Source organism: Homo sapiens, chromosome 9 (genome assembly GCF_000001405.40).
Source record: "Homo sapiens chromosome 9, GRCh38.p14 Primary Assembly".
In the NCBI taxonomy this organism is placed as follows: domain Eukaryota; kingdom Metazoa; phylum Chordata; class Mammalia; order Primates; family Hominidae; genus Homo; species Homo sapiens.
The window spans coordinates 35,717,463-35,732,665 of record NC_000009.12 but is presented as its reverse complement, the minus strand read 5'-3'; the positions used below and the strand labels follow the sequence as shown (position 1 = coordinate 35,732,665).

Below are 15,203 nucleotides of genomic sequence, written 5' to 3'. Positions count from 1 at the left end.
GGCCGGGATTCCCCGCCGGCGGCTTTCCATAGCCCTCTCCGGACCCGCCTCCCAGGCTCAATTCTCCTCAGCCTCCAACGCAGCGAAAGTGACGCACCCCACCCCGTGGCACTGTGGGACTTGGAGTTCCCTCCAACTGAGAAGAGGCTTGGGTGCAGCGCCACGTCCCAGGGGCTATGCAAATGTAGGGGACGGCCCTGCTGCCGCCTCGCACCCCGAGGGCGGGGGTTCCGGGGCTCCGGCTCCGCCTTCTACCCCAAGCTAGAAAAAGGAAGAGTTCTAGCCTGAAAGGGAACTCGGGCGTCGTCCTGGCGTCCTCTCCGGATTGCGCCGCACCCTCGCTTCCTGCCAGGGAGGGGCTGCCGGGCTTTGGCGGCTCCCGAGCATCGAGAACGGGGCCAGAGCAGCTTCCTGCCTGCCCCCCGCGACCATAGAGCGCGGGCCCAGGGCGCCGCCCGCGGGTGGGGGACGTTCCCAGGACGGAAGTGGCCGAGAGAGTGTCGAAGGGAGGGCGAGGCCGGAGCCCGAGGGCGACCCGAGAAGCGGCGGGGCGGCGGGCCGGCGGGCGGGGCGCAGAGCCAGGCAGCGCAGGTAGGCCAGACCGGGCCGGGCGGGGGCCTTAGGGTGGGGCCGCGGGGCCTGGCCCCGGGGCGGGCGGGCCCTGCCTCTCTTGCGTGTCCGGTTCGGGTCCTATTAGTTGGAGAGGTCAGCGTCCAGCGCATCTCGGCTTGAGCTCGGCGTGAAGTAGGCCGTCTTGGGGAAGACAGGCCTTTCCTGGGAGCAGTCCTATGTCTGGGATAGGCTTTGGGGAGCGTGAGGAGTCGGGTGGCAGCGGGGCGCAGGGCGGGGACGGGCTTTGGTGTTAGCTGATAGCGGGCATGTGGGTAGGAAAGCTTTGGGTGAGTTGGGGATTAGGTGGGGTCCGTTTAGGAATCAAGGGTCGCTATAGGAGTTAAAAGCTGGGGTTAAAACTTAAGAGTTAGTGTGAGTCAGGTCCGTTTTAGATAGGTAAGGTTTAGATTACGGTCATTATCTTGTTTGCTGGGATGGCCATCATACGTCATAATTTGAGTTCAGGGTCAGGTTAAGGGTCAACAAACAACAGGAATCAGGTTAGAGCTTGTTTGAGGGATTAAAGAATGTTGGCATGGTCGGTGTTAAGGATAAACAGTGAAAGCGTGAGTTAGGAATCAAATTATAAATGAACTTTAGGCTTAGGGGTCAACATTTAGGGTTAACATCAGGGGATTTGGTGCTAAAGGCAAAACTTAGATCAGTTTCAGGGATCAGGGATTGGATATGAGTCTGTGCTAGGAAAGGGATGAATGTCCAAGCCGGTACTGGGAATCAGGAAACAAATTAGAGGTGGGGTTAATGTTAGGAATTTGGGGCAGCTTTAGGGGTTGTGGTTTGAGGCTAGCATAGTTGACCTTGAGCAGATAAAATTTAAGAGGTTGGCAGTAGGTAAATGCCCTTCTTTTGTAGGGAAATCCTTTATTCCTATGTAGTTACAGGGGCTTCTTTTTACCCAGAGAGATAAACTAATTTCAGGCTAGCGTTCTGGCTTTAGCTAGAATTGCAGGCATCTGGGATTCCAGCTTCTTTATTCCATTCTCTAAGCCCAAGGCCCTTGCTGTGGCCACCACAGTTAGGGGACAGAGATTCTGGACTGTGTTGTTTACAGACAACATAGGTGGGAAATAGGGACCCAGGATGTACAAGGCCTAGTCACAAGTTGGGGACTGCCTAGGGAAGAAGGAGCTGATGACTATGGGGGAAGCTAACCAAGGAATCACTGTTGCCATGGGAGAAGGGAATAACTGAATCCCCTGAAAGTTTAGCCCTGCTTCTCCCACTTCACTTGTTCTCTTGGTATTAAGCCCTCCTCTCCAACTCTCATCCCTGACTCTGCATTTCACACCCATCCTGCCTATCCCCTTACAAAATACTTCCCTTGCCTTTAACTCTCCCATGCTCATCTTATCATCCGTTCCCATCCTTAGTTCTACCTCCCTCACCAACCTTTAATCCGCACATCCTACCTGAATTTACCCTCATCAAAACCTGAGCTTTCCCATCATTTTAAATTACTCTCCTACCATTTTCACCCAGTCATGTACCTACATTCCACCTGGTCATCTGCTGAATACCCTACTCCCATCCCCTGCTGTGTGTCACCCCCTGGATCTAAGCCTCTTTTAATTTCTTGGACCATTTGTAGATCCCCTTCCCCCACTCCCCAACAGAAAAGAGGAAACGAGACCCAAAGAGGAAACTGGGTCTTGCTGATCCCACGCCCAGCCAGGCCACTGACCACACCCCCACTTCACTCCCAGCCTGACCCTGCCACTGACCACAGCACTATCCTCTACTCAGCCTGACCCAGCCACTGGCTGTACCCCATCCCCCATCCCAGCTCCAGCTTTACTTAGACATTGCCAATGTCCCTTCACTTTCCCACCCCCACCCCAGTCTGATTTAGTGACTGACCACAGGCCCAGCTCTTCTCAACCTCCTATAGCCTGACCTGGCCTCTGACCTCACCCCATCATTCCCTGACTTAGCCACCATCCATGTAATCATTCCCCTTCCCCCAACCTGATGCAGTGACTGGTCATATATGTATCTTATGTATATGTATTTTTCCAAACACCATCATCACCAGCATTCTTTTTCTACACCCTGTCTTCTCATCCTTTTTCTACACCCTGTCTTCCCCATTCCCAGCCTGATGCAGTCACTAACCCAACCCCATCTGCCCCTAGTGGCTACTAATCATATACTCATACCCTTTTTCCCCACAGCCTAACCACATCCCGTAACCACAGCCTCATCCTCACATTCTCTGCCCAACCTGATCCTTTCCCCTCTTCCCAATTCGTCGCCTAAACTCAAGCTGCCCCAGCCGCTAAAGTGGCTGCTGATGATAGGAAGCTGTGGGACTCTAACCTGTCTACCTTAGTAGTTATTAGGTCCTGTCATTTCTACCTCCCCAAACTTGTTCTGAGTGACATCTTCCTCAATGCCATTCCAACTCCGGCTTCATTACCTTTAATTTGTACTAATACAGTGTCCTTCTAACTAATCTCCAAGGTAACTGCCAGAGTTATTTTTCTAAAATCCAGTTCCGGTTATGTCTCTTCTCTGCTCAAAGACTCCCTTGGCTTCCTTTTGTCCTCCAATAAGTAAAATTCCTCATACCCCTCTCCAGTCTTCCTCTGCCTTTCCATCCTAACCCTGACTTCCCCACCACTGCTCCCTTGCAGGTACCCCTGTGCTTCAACAGCCTGCCTGCTCACTTCCCTGAATGCTCCTCCACGATTTACTGCTTCTCCATCTTTGCTTATGCTATTTCTCTGCCTGGAGTGAAAACTACCCCTGACACATCTCCAGCTGGCTGGCGTAGTGGAGAAAGCTTGGGCTTTGCAGTCAGAAACCTGGGTTCGGATCCTGGCTTCACAACTTATTATTTGGAGAAGTATTTGAACAAGTATTTAACATCTTTGAGTCTGTTTTCTGATCTGTAAAAATGGAAATAATGACACCTACTGTAAGGATTAAATGAAATTATGTATACAATGCAAGTGACATAGTCAATAAATGGCAGATCACTATTGTTTTTTATTATCTCTATTTTTTAAAATTCTAGCTTCAAATGATACTTATCATGGAGACTTTTTGGTTCCCCTTCCCTGACCTAAAGGGATCTCTCTGAGCACACACCTTTTGGCTCTTACCACATCCTGCCCTCCGTTGTGATTCTGTACTTGGCTTATTCACTCATCTCGTGGACTGGGAGCCCTTTGAACTCAAAGGCTAGGTCTTACTGATCTTGGTCCCCAGCCACTGAAAGTTTGGCCCAGGGTCTTCCCCACAGCTGGCCCTCAAGGAATGCTTGCTGGGTGAATGGAGAATGTCTACATAATGGGAGGAGAGACACTGGGTGCCGGGTGTGCTTGTTATGGAGGTTATCTGTGCAAAAGCTGTGTGCATAGGATGGGCTCCCTAGGAGAAGATAATGCAGTCGTGATGGGATCTGTGTGGGGGCTGTGTGATTGAGATAATGTGTGTATAGAGAGAGTAAGGTAGCTTTGTGGGAAAGAGCTCTGCCTAGGCTGGGGTGCATCTGGGGAGAATGAGTGTGCATTTGAGTATGGAGGGGCTGTACCGGGGGAAGTTCTGTGCAGCCCTTCAGCTAGCTGCCCAGTCCAGCTCTAAATGAGTCTCCAGCAGCCTGAGGCCGGATATGTCAGTCTCACCCACAGCCCTCCCCCACTGCCAGCGGTTGCGGACTCAGAGGCCAAATTTGGTAACAGACTGAGTGTTACTCCCCCATCCCTCTTATATTCTGACTGTCTTAAGCTCTTTCCTTTTGTTCCTGTCTGTAACTCCCTATCTTTCTGCAATTCCCCTTGTGGGTATCTGCTCTGACTATATTCTCCAAGTACCCCAACTTTCTTAGCTCCAATACTCTTACATTCCATTCCTTGCTGGGATTTGACCTCCTGTCCTCCATTCCCCCCCTCCAATTGCCCAACTTCTTTGGAATGCATCGCAGGAATGTATTGAGGGAGGAGGAGTTCCCTGGGAGGGGGACACGGCAGTGGGGAGTTGCTGTTCCATCAAACACAATGGAAAAGGGAGCAAAGTTCTCAGGCCAAAGGAGGAATGAGCTAGCTTCTACTCATACTTGTAGCAGCCTTGTTCTTTGCCACCACCACCCACAATTCACTGATCAGTTCTTCGCGTCCACACACCCTCTTGTAGCTGTGTGAATATCCACTCTGGACCAGCTGGGGAGTAAGGGTAGGCATGACTCAGCTCCCTTATCGGGGTCTCACCAGAGGCTTCCGTGCTTGAGGAGGAAGGGGGTGTCTAAGTGTCCAGAGGAAATGGGGGGAGACATGCAGTTTCAGCTTAGTGTGAAGGGTCCTTTCAGTCCTGCTTCTTGGCTCCACAGACTCCTCCAGCTTCTCGGATCCACCAGCCCAGCCCTCATTCTTTCATGGTCAGCAACCCCATAGCCAGGTCTGTCCAGCTGGGACACAAGCGGATAGTAATAAGGTTGGGCAAAGTGCCCCAGGAGTGGGGAGGGGGCAGAGAGCTGGAACTGGGGAGACTGGGAGGGTCCTCTCTTATTGGGGAGTAAAGACAGAGAGCTGTGGTTCTTCTCTTTTGAGACTCTGGACTGCTTGTAAGGTCAGAAATGGTCTATCTGCCACTTGGTACCAGACCGCTGATCTAGACCATTTTCATACCTGCCTCCTGTCTCTTGTTTCTACTTAGATTTTCAATTCTCCTCATCCCATCTCTCCTAACTTCTTTACCCTCTACCCCTTCTTAACTTCCCTGGCTTTCAAATGCCTTCTGTATCCTAACACCCCCATCTCTGCTTTCCAGCCTTCCCCTCTCACCCTGCTTTTCCCCATTTGAGGCTTGTAGTTTGCCAGGAGGGGAATGGGCAGCTTGTATTTGCCCATTCTCTTAGTTAAGAGGCACCCAATCCCTGTACCAAGCAGGGGCACATCAGCAGCAGCCGGGCAGACTTGTCCTCTTGCAGCCTGTGCGCCACCTGCTGCCTCCAGTGCCTCCTCTAGCCTGCTGAGAGGGGGTGCCAGGAGGGTGGAAGAAGGTGGGGTAGGACTAGTATTCTGAGCTGCACTGAAAATACAGTCAGGGGAAGTGGGTGAGACAGAGCAGAATTCGAGACAGACTTGCTGAAGAGGAGAAAGCATGGGAGGAGTTGCAGGACTGAGTATTAACTTGATGACTTGGAACAAGCAAGGACTGAGTTACAGGGACTGGGTCCTTTCTCTGGCCTGTCTTGAAAATGTTTCCTGGCCTCCCAGAGTCTATTTCCCCTTCTCCAAAACACAAGAGTTGACCAGATAACTTCTGAGATAGATCCCTTTGAGTTAGAGAATCACATTTCTAGCTTGACTGCCTGGGAAGCCCAGTACAGGGCTAGGCTCCTTCAGAAGGCCCCCGCATCTCAGGTTAGAAAAAAGCTGGGGCAAGAGCGGACCCCTGAATGGCTTGAGCAACCAGTATTTGGTCTCCCTGCCAGGCTAGCTAGAGTTTGTTTGCAGGCTTCAAGAGCCTTAGGGAATTATAACATCTTCATTTTGCAGAGAAGGCAGCTAAAGCCATGAGAAGGAAGGTCACGTGGTGAGAAGAGAGCTCTGAAAATCCCGGACAGGGAAGAGCCAGCAGGACACAGCAGGAGACAAAGAGAGAAAAATACTGAACCAGGCAAAAATGAAAAGAAGGCAGGAGTAGGGCTGAGAAAGGTGATCAGGGACAAGGGGCAAGAGAGATACTTGGATGAAAGTAGGGAGGTACAAATTCCAGTGGTGGGGCAGGGCAGTGTCCTCAGGTAGCACTGCATTTCAGACCTGCTATTGTACCTTGCAGACCAGCTTCTCCTTTCCCTCAGATGTCTTAAATTGTTAGGACTTGGCCGGGCGTGGTGGCTCACGCCTGTAATCCCAGCACTTGGGGAGGCCAAGGTGGATCACGAGGTCAGGAGATCGAGACCATCCTGGCTAACATGGTGAAACCCCGTCTCTACTAAAAATACAAAAAATTAGCCAGGCATGGCAGCGGGCGCCTGTAGTCCCAGCTACTGGGGAGGCTGAGACAGGAGAATGGCGTGAATCCAGGAGGCGGAGCTTGCAGCGAGCTGAGATCGCACCACTGTACTCTAGCCTGGGCAACAGAACGAAACTCTGTCTCAAAAAAAAAAATTGTCAGGACTCATTCTTTTGATGTAAATAATTTTTCACTCTTTAAAATTATTAAATACAATGAAAACAACCTTATTACCATCTACTTTGGTGAGTCCCTTTCAAAAACACTCTTCCCTTGGACTCCACCATCTGGGGGGCCTCTTCTCCCACCAGAAGAGTGTATTCTAATGCCCTGATGCCATGGGTCAGGTATAGCCAGGCTGGAGAAAAGAAGCTGCCACCATGGTTGCACTTTCACTGAAGATCAGCATTGGGAATGTGGTGAAGACGATGCAGTTTGAGCCGTCTACCATGGTGTACGACGCCTGCCGCATCATTCGTGAGCGGATCCCAGAGGCCCCAGCTGGTCCTCGTGAGTCTGACTCCCCCGGTGGCTGGAGTGGGAGTCTTCAGTCCCTTCTTGTTCCCAGGCTCTCGGCCTTGAGAGTTGACCCCTTTGTCCCCTAAGACTACTCACCCCTCAGGTCTGTGTTCCATGGTTCCCTCGTTCTTTAGGCCCAAGGTCATGGGAGAAATAGTCAGGGGCAACATGGTACAAGCTGTTCAGCCACATTGGGGTCTTCATAAGCCTAAAGTGATCCATCCTCTCTTTTAGCCAGCGACTTTGGGCTCTTTCTGTCAGATGATGACCCCAAAAAGGGTATATGGCTGGAGGCTGGGAAAGCTTTGGACTACTACATGCTCCGAAATGGGGTAAGTATCCTTTCATCAAGGACCACCACATCCCCTTCCATCAGCTTCTCCCTGTTCCACCTCCTGTTTTCAGCACCCACATCTGTTGTCTCTTAGCCCTCCCCATGCTTTCTTCCTATTAACAGACAGTCATAATTCCCTGCTTTTGAACGAACCACCATAGTCTTCCTTTCAGTGCTCCACTCTCTCCCCTCGGGCTGTGTAAAGAGGAAATAATACCCCTAGCTCAGAGTAGGCCCCTGTCTCTTCTTCCTGCCCTAACAGGACACTATGGAGTACAGGAAGAAACAGAGACCCCTGAAGATCCGTATGCTGGATGGAACTGTGAAGACGATCATGGTGGATGACTCTAAGACTGTCACTGACATGCTCATGACCATCTGTGCCCGCATTGGTAAGGGGCCCTAGTACAGTTGAAAGCCTGGGCCAGAAAGCCTCAACTCTCTCAAAAGGCATGGATGCAGTACCTGGGAAGCTAACAAGCCATCTCCTTCCTCAGGCATCACCAATCATGATGAATATTCATTGGTTCGAGAGCTGATGGAAGAGAAAAAGGAGGAAATAACAGGGACCTTAAGAAAGGACAAGACATTGCTGCGAGATGAAAAGAAGATGGAGAAACTAAAGCAGAAATTGCACACAGATGATGAGTGTAAGCAGAACTAGAAAAAAGAGGGCTTTTGAAATGGGAAGGGTGGGAAGGGGCTTCAGCATCTGCTTCTGCCAGGCACTGTTTTACACCCTGGGGATACATCAGTGAGAAAACAAAGTCCTACACTCATGGGACTTACATTTAAGTGAGGGGAGGTAGGAAATGCAGAAATAAACAGAGACCAGACAGCACAGGGGCCATGGGGGTTTGGCACTGAGGGGACTGTCTGTATCCCAGTGAACTGGCTGGACCATGGTCGGACACTGAGGGAGCAGGGTGTAGAGGAGCACGAGACGCTGCTGCTGCGGAGGAAGTTCTTTTACTCAGACCAGAATGTGGATTCCCGGGACCCTGTACAGCTGAACCTCCTGTATGTGCAGGTATGCAGAGGACTTGGCTGGGGTGGGGCAGGAATAGGGAGGGCTCGGAAGCACAGTGTGCGTGTCCTTGCACCCACACACAACATTCGCCTCCTTGCCCTGTGCTCTCCAGGCACGAGATGACATCCTGAATGGCTCCCACCCTGTCTCCTTTGACAAGGCCTGTGAGTTTGCTGGCTTCCAATGCCAGATCCAGTTTGGGCCCCACAATGAGCAGAAGCACAAGGCTGGCTTCCTTGAGTGAGTGACCCACATCCTATACCCTGTCAGGGCCCAGGACTCCCTGCCATTGTGACCCCAGTGGGCCTGTCTCCATTCCAAGCCTGCCCCCCACTATTTCTTCTTCCGAGGTACCAGGGTTTGACCAACATAGCTACCCTTTTAGTTGCCATCATCCATTGTCTCTTCTCTGCCTCTGGAATATGAATGTAGTTCAGTATCTCTGCCCCTACCCCCATCTCTGAAGCAAGCATGTCACTCTTTTTTGAGATTATCTGAAGAATTTTGCTGCAGTAGCCAGAGGGAAACCGGGTAAAATTTTCCCTATAGGGAACATGGGTTAAAAGTCTCACAAGCCTCATCTGCTGGTGTTTCTTGGAATGCAGAGTTTGGCGTGGCTTTCTCAGCTTCCTAAGTGCATGTTCATCCTTCTAGAAAGCTCTTTCTCCTCTTGGTTCCCTGAAATGGTGCTCTAGACCCACTTTCCCTCAGGGACTGAGCCTCTAACTTAATTTTCCTCAGTCCCTTTCCCTACAGGGAGAGACACAGGTCACATTAAGAATTCATACTGGCCAGGCTCGGTGGCTCACACCTGTAATCCCAGCACTTTGGGAGGCCAGGGCGGGCAGATCACCTGAGGTCGGGAGTTCGAGACCAGCCTGACCAACGTGGAGAAACCATGTATCTCTACTAAAAATACAAAATTAGCCAGGCGTGGTGGCACATGCCTGTAATCCCAGCTACTCGGGAGGCTGAGGCAGGAGAATCACTTGAACCTGGGAGGTGGAGGTTTTGGTGAGCTGAGATCGTGCCATTGCACTCCAGCCTGGGCAACAAGAGTGAAACTCCATCTCAAAAAAAAAAAAGAAGAGTTTACACGAAGTCACCTCTATTTCAGAAGATAATCTAGACTCTATTCCCTCAGAGTCTTTTTTCTCCCCAAAGATAACACTGTCCTAGGTATTTCCTCATACCCCCAGGCCCACAGTTCATGGCCCACATGTCCCCTGATGCTGTCTACCACATGCTGACCCTCCCTTTTCTGGTGTAGCCTGAAGGACTTCCTGCCCAAGGAGTATGTGAAGCAGAAGGGAGAGCGTAAGATCTTCCAGGTGAATGTGGGTAGGGGAAAGTATTTGGGATGACCGCGGAGCTTTGCTGCTTAATCTTACTGACTAAATGGCCCCCTGCCTCCTCCCCGTCTCCCCTAACTTGGCTTTCACCCACCGGGCTGTTATCCCACCTCACCTCTGCCAAGAAAGCAGACAGCTTGGGCTTTTAGTCTCAGCTCCATCCCTGCTTTTGCTGTGCAATTCAGTTCAATATTCTTGTAATCTTTTATTTACCTCTGATTTGGGATAACAGTACTTGCCCCGTGTAGGACTGATAGGATCAAATGAGGTAGCATAATCTGAAATTACTGTGAAAGAGTATAGTCTTTGTCCACTATAAGGTGTTACCCCCACTCTGAATACTCAGCCCAGAAGGCCTTCTCTTTGCCCTTCTACTTCCAAACTCTCTGTTCATATCTCCAGAATGTCTGCAAGTTCCTTGACTGTATCCCTTGACTCATCGCTTCTGCATAGCCCTTATCAGCCTCCATCCCGTTACCCTCTCGTTCTCATATCTTGTACTCCTCAACCTTTCCAGTGTCCCCATAATTCTCTCTCGTTAGAGTTAGCATCCAACCTTAATTCCTTAGCTGTGATATGAAACTCTTTGCTAAATTCTTCCCCATTTTATGCACAGGCACACAAGAATTGTGGGCAGATGAGTGAGATTGAGGCCAAGGTCCGCTACGTGAAGCTAGCCCGTTCTCTCAAGACTTACGGTGTCTCCTTCTTCCTGGTGAAGGTAGGTTATGGGCCCTTTTCACTGCCCTCCTTGTTTCCCACTCTTGCCCTTTTCTGTCTCTGAAAGTCTCTGGCCTTGCCCTCAGTCACATCTCCCACCATTCCCTAAGATTCCCATTCTCTTCCTTGCTCTGACCTCATGAAAACCTGCCTGTCATCAGCCCTACACCACCACTTCCCTCCCTACCCTGCATTTTCCCTTGTCCGTTAGCCCTCCCGGCCACCTCAACATCCCCTATGGCTGCAAGCTGATCTGATCATTCACCTCTCATTTGACCTCTGACCTGTAACACCAACACCAACCTCTGCCTCATAGGAAAAAATGAAAGGGAAGAACAAGCTAGTGCCCAGGCTTCTGGGCATCACCAAGGAGTGTGTGATGCGAGTGGATGAGAAGACCAAGGAAGTGATCCAGGAGTGGAACCTCACCAACATCAAACGCTGGGCTGCGTCTCCCAAAAGCTTCACCCTGGTAAGTCTGGGGACTATAACAAGAAAGTGCTTTGGGAGTTTCATTAAAGGGGCAGCTGCAGAGGTCTCTTCCCTCTCTTGGGGTAAGTATACTGAGTATTACTCCAGAAAAAAAGGAGGTTAGAGTAGATGGAGAATCTTCCTCTGGGAGAGTGTGAGGCTTAAATGAAACGGATGATGGACTTATTCTTTAAAATCAGCAGAACAAAAATCTCATCAGCAAGCTGAGATCACAGGAATTCTTGTAGGTGTGGTGAAAGGAAAAATGTGATAACCTCCCTGTTTCAGCAGCAGCTATATACAGTGAATTTTTGACTTTATATTATAGGGTTATGAATTGAAAACTGATATCAACTTGATAAAGTACCCTAATGACACAAATACAAATTATAGGAAATGCTGTTTTTTCCCTTTTGGATACTACAGCCAACCTTAAAGTGTGGCCATTTTATGCCAAATATTATATCCTCTCAATTTTATCATCAGAGTAAAAATAAGAGACTTCCTAAATGATATGTATTTGAAACTGTGTAGTGTAGAGGCCACTCCTCAGAAGTAAAAAATTTCCCTCCAAGGAGAAAATAAAGAGGAGGTTCAAGAAAGGTGGGCATCTTCCAAGAGGGCCGTTGCCACGGGAAGGCATCTCATCAGCTCAACCTTGGGCCTCCCATCCTAGCCATTTCCATCCTGGATAGATTTGAGCTTTCCCTCTGAGTCCCCCACTTGTCACCCTAGGATTTTGGAGATTACCAAGATGGCTATTACTCAGTACAGACAACTGAAGGGGAGCAGATTGCACAGCTCATTGCCGGCTACATCGATATCATCCTGAAGAAGGTGAGCACTGCCTGCCCTAGCCTTCTCCTTATCGCCTCTTGCCCTCTCCACAAGCCAGTCCTTTAGAAATGGGCACTCAGATTGCTTGAACCTGGGAGGCGGAGGTTGCAATGAGCCGAGATCTTGCCTCTGCACTCCAGCCTGGGTGACAGAGCCCTTTCTTGTCAAAAAAAAAAAAAAAAGAAAAAGAAATGGACACTCAGCTTCTGGAAAATGGCTGGTTATGGAAAGAAGAGGCTGCCTTTTCTCCACTTCCCTCTTCTTTAACTATCCCAACTCTTGTTCCTTTTTCCTTCCTACAGAAAAAAAGCAAGGATCACTTTGGGCTGGAAGGAGATGAGGAGTCTACTATGCTGGAGGACTCAGTGTCCCCCAAAAAGTACGAAGGGAGTTGGGCTGATCCCATTTCCCAGGGGTAGAGAAGGCAAGGCCTGACTCTAAGGACTCTTGGGAGGTGGGGAGTCCTTAGAATGGTTCTTTAACTAGTTGCAGGCTGTAGTGAGACCTCACACACCTGCAAAGGTAGTGTAACCGGGTGGGACGGGTAGAGATGAGGAGTCCTCTGTGAGCTCAATAGTTCACCCCTCTACAGGTCAACAGTCCTGCAGCAGCAATACAACCGGGTGGGGAAAGTGGAGCATGGCTCTGTGGCCCTGCCTGCCATCATGCGCTCTGGAGCCTCTGGTCCTGAGAATTTCCAGGTGGGCAGCATGCCCCCTGCCCAGCAGCAGATTACCAGCGGCCAGATGCACCGAGGACACATGCCTCCTCTGGTAAGTGTCCCACTTCCACCACGGTGCCAGGGCCCTTCTCTCACCCTCAGCTGGGCCGAGCCAGGAGTTAGGCAGTCTTTTCCCAGGTCCCTATTTGTATTCTCTCCCTAGACCCTGGTTCTCTTTTACCTTCTCTTTTCTCCAAACATCCATTCCAGTCCCTGTTTCTCCCCACTTGTCTTTAGACTTCAGCCCAGCAGGCACTCACTGGAACCATTAACTCCAGCATGCAGGCCGTGCAGGCTGCCCAGGCCACCCTGGATGACTTTGACACTCTGCCGCCTCTTGGCCAGGATGCTGTAAGTATGGGATGGAGGAGAGGCCGGTGGTACTGAAGCTGAGACTCCAAGGGATAGGGATGAGGTGAACCAAACCAGGGCAGATCCTGAAGGCTTTTCCTCTCTCTTTCAGGCCTCTAAGGCCTGGCGTAAAAACAAGATGGATGAATCAAAGCATGAGATCCACTCTCAGGTAGATGCCATCACAGCTGGTACTGCGTCTGTGGTGAACCTGACAGCAGGTAGGCCGGATGCTAGCTTCCGGGTGTGTGATGGGGAGAGGGGGTGCAAGTGTGCACAGGCATGCATGTGACTGGCTTCATGTGTGACTGTGCCTTGACTCACTGTGGAAGGGACTGTGTGTGTGCGTCTTTCTGTGGACATGTGTGTGACTAACTGGGTGTGACTTTGCTCCCTCCCCAGCCCTTCGTCTGGCCTGCCCTGTCTCTCATGTTCCTCTTTCTCCTTTTCCCCTTAGGGGACCCTGCTGAGACAGACTATACCGCAGTGGGCTGTGCAGTCACCACAATCTCCTCCAACCTGACGGAGATGTCCCGTGGGGTGAAGCTGCTGGCTGCCTTGCTGGAGGACGAAGGCGGCAGTGGTCGGCCCCTGTTGCAGGCAGCAAAGGGCCTTGCGGGAGCAGTGTCAGAACTGCTGCGCAGTGCCCAACCAGCCAGTGCTGAGGTCAGGGGCCACAGGTTTGGGTTAGGGTGGAGACAGGGTTCAAGCCCAAGGAGAAGGGGCAGTCCAAGCCACAGGATGGAAGCCTGGGTCCCGTGGGCCTGTGATATGCACAGGCATGTGGGCAGGGATTGGGCAGCTTCTGACTGGTGTTCACTCTCCACAGCCCCGTCAGAACCTGCTGCAAGCAGCTGGGAACGTGGGCCAGGCCAGTGGGGAGCTGTTGCAACAAATTGGGGAAAGTGATACTGACCCCCACTTCCAGGTTGGTGACTTACCCAACCCCCCAGAACCCCAGAATCTAGGAAGTAACTTCTGCTCGTGAATCCAGTTCCTAGTCCTGGCTTCTGTGAATTGACCCCTAAAAACCAATCTGAACCTCTATTTCCAGGGGATGATACTAGTAACTTCTGATCTCTCTTTTAGGGGTTAGAATTCAGAACCCCTGAATCCAAACTTAACCTGCTAGTTTACTCTTGGCCCTCATTTATTCTTTAGCCCCTTGTCATCTTTTCTCTCTCTTCCCCGTACATAGCCCTTGCCCCAATTTGAGGACCCCCCACAATGCTATAGACCATGCCACCCTGAGAATAGTGTTCCTCTAGCTCTCCCCCTTCCCGCTCCATGCCAATTTCCTCAGCTGACTTTTCACCCTGGATTTCCCATGCAGATATGTGCATCCAGAGGGGCTGGGGTTCGATCTCCCCCCGATTCCCCTACGGTAACAGCCTCTGGCCTGGGCCTTCCCAGCTTTGTCCTCTCTGAGCCGCATACACTCGTTTCTGTACTTCTTCCTCAGCCTCCTGGGGGACCAGAACTTGGTGGGAGATGAGGAGGCCTGGCGAAGCCAGGCTTTGGGAAATGGGATCAGGTAGGGTAGTACAGGGACTTGCTCCCAAGACTCCAGGATGACCACTTCCAATCCAAGATCAAGAAGTGGAGTAAAGAAGCTGGGGGTGGAGGGATCCCAGGAGATACCTCCTACCTCCTCTCCCCACCCCATTGTAACAGCGCCACCACATTGTCTCCCCGTCATCATCGAGTGTATCCGCCTCATGTGTGTCTCCATTTGGTGTAGGCTGTATTTTCTCTTGGTGTGGGTTTGTTCCTCGGTGGGGGTTCTGTCCTGCTGGGTGCTCAGGGCAGTAGCTCGGGGTAGGTTCTGGTTGCTTCTGCGTACACTCTCCTTTGATTGGATCAGTGGGAATAATGAAGCAGCTTACGCCTCTGAGAAGTGTCTGTGAATCCCAAGCCCAATCTCAGGTCATGCTAACTGCTGTTTTCTCACAGGATGCGCTAATGCAGCTCGCCAAAGCTGTGGCAAGTGCTGCAGCTGCCCTGGTCCTCAAGGCCAAGAGTGTGGCCCAGCGGACAGAGGACTCGGGACTTCAGACCCAAGTTATTGCTGCAGCAACACAGTGTGCCCTATCCACTTCCCAACTAGTGGCCTGTACTAAGGTGAGCCCCAAAGGTTGCTCTAGTCCGTGCTGAGGGGTAATACTACCACACACACGTGAGCCTTTCATTTTATTTCTTTGGCTCTGGAGGCCTCCTCACCCATCCCAGTTACTGCTATGAGCAGCATACTCTACCTCCTTTCCCTTGCCTACGTCT

General features: G+C 51.0%; 1 protein-coding gene across 1 annotated transcript in view, besides 9 other annotated features; it reads left to right on the top strand.

Annotated features, from left to right (window-relative positions):
• Positions 15-64: an enhancer, noted in NCBI's record as "active region_28335". NCBI's record gives its function as "activates an Ori minimal core promoter by ATAC-STARR-seq in GM12878 lymphoblastoid cells {active_cell/tissue: GM12878}" and the evidence as "EXISTENCE:reporter gene assay evidence [ECO:0000049][PMID:35858748]".
• Positions 195-354: a silencer, noted in NCBI's record as "silent region_19875". NCBI's record gives its function as "represses an Ori minimal core promoter by ATAC-STARR-seq in GM12878 lymphoblastoid cells {active_cell/tissue: GM12878}" and the evidence as "EXISTENCE:reporter gene assay evidence [ECO:0000049][PMID:35858748]".
• Positions 395-684: a silencer, noted in NCBI's record as "silent region_19874". NCBI's record gives its function as "represses an Ori minimal core promoter by ATAC-STARR-seq in GM12878 lymphoblastoid cells {active_cell/tissue: GM12878}" and the evidence as "EXISTENCE:reporter gene assay evidence [ECO:0000049][PMID:35858748]".
• The window catches only part of TLN1 (talin 1), a 35,248-nt gene continuing 20,515 nt past the window's right edge, over positions 471-15,203 (top strand). Inside the window, exons 1-18 of the mRNA NM_006289.4 lie at positions 471-591; positions 6,939-7,101; positions 7,345-7,442; positions 7,707-7,836; positions 7,942-8,094; positions 8,332-8,474; positions 8,587-8,714; positions 9,745-9,805; positions 10,443-10,547; positions 10,863-11,018; positions 11,753-11,854; positions 12,157-12,233; positions 12,447-12,627; positions 12,813-12,926; positions 13,039-13,147; positions 13,384-13,592; positions 13,756-13,854; positions 14,880-15,047. Coding sequence (NP_006280.3) covers positions 6,972-7,101; positions 7,345-7,442; positions 7,707-7,836; positions 7,942-8,094; positions 8,332-8,474; positions 8,587-8,714; positions 9,745-9,805; positions 10,443-10,547; positions 10,863-11,018; positions 11,753-11,854; positions 12,157-12,233; positions 12,447-12,627; positions 12,813-12,926; positions 13,039-13,147; positions 13,384-13,592; positions 13,756-13,854; positions 14,880-15,047 — 2,163 coding nt within the window. The 5' untranslated portion in view covers positions 471-591; positions 6,939-6,971. The remainder of the gene's footprint in view (positions 592-6,938; positions 7,102-7,344; positions 7,443-7,706; positions 7,837-7,941; positions 8,095-8,331; positions 8,475-8,586; positions 8,715-9,744; positions 9,806-10,442; positions 10,548-10,862; positions 11,019-11,752; positions 11,855-12,156; positions 12,234-12,446; positions 12,628-12,812; positions 12,927-13,038; positions 13,148-13,383; positions 13,593-13,755; positions 13,855-14,879; positions 15,048-15,203) is intronic.
• Positions 865-914: an enhancer, noted in NCBI's record as "active region_28334". NCBI's record gives its function as "activates an Ori minimal core promoter by ATAC-STARR-seq in GM12878 lymphoblastoid cells {active_cell/tissue: GM12878}" and the evidence as "EXISTENCE:reporter gene assay evidence [ECO:0000049][PMID:35858748]".
• Positions 2,304-2,363: an enhancer, noted in NCBI's record as "active region_28333". NCBI's record gives its function as "activates an Ori minimal core promoter by ATAC-STARR-seq in GM12878 lymphoblastoid cells {active_cell/tissue: GM12878}" and the evidence as "EXISTENCE:reporter gene assay evidence [ECO:0000049][PMID:35858748]".
• Positions 4,759-5,472: an enhancer, noted in NCBI's record as "H3K27ac-H3K4me1 hESC enhancer chr9:35727191-35727904 (GRCh37/hg19 assembly coordinates)". NCBI's record gives its function as "activates a minimal SCP1, AML or CMV promoter by ChIP-STARR-seq in naive H9 embryonic stem cells {active_cell/tissue: H9 hESC(naive)}" and the evidence as "EXISTENCE:reporter gene assay evidence [ECO:0000049][PMID:30033119]".
• Positions 5,460-5,754: a silencer, noted in NCBI's record as "tiled region #8490; K562 Repressive non-DNase unmatched - State 2:TssF". NCBI's record gives its function as "represses a minimal TATA promoter and a strong SV40 promoter by Sharpr-MPRA in K562 cells {active_cell/tissue: K562}" and the evidence as "EXISTENCE:reporter gene assay evidence [ECO:0000049][PMID:27701403]".
• Positions 5,460-6,185: a biological region, named in NCBI's record as "H3K27ac-H3K4me1 hESC enhancer GRCh37_chr9:35726478-35727190".
• Positions 5,473-6,185: an enhancer, noted in NCBI's record as "H3K27ac-H3K4me1 hESC enhancer chr9:35726478-35727190 (GRCh37/hg19 assembly coordinates)". NCBI's record gives its function as "activates a minimal SCP1, AML or CMV promoter by ChIP-STARR-seq in naive H9 embryonic stem cells {active_cell/tissue: H9 hESC(naive)}" and the evidence as "EXISTENCE:reporter gene assay evidence [ECO:0000049][PMID:30033119]".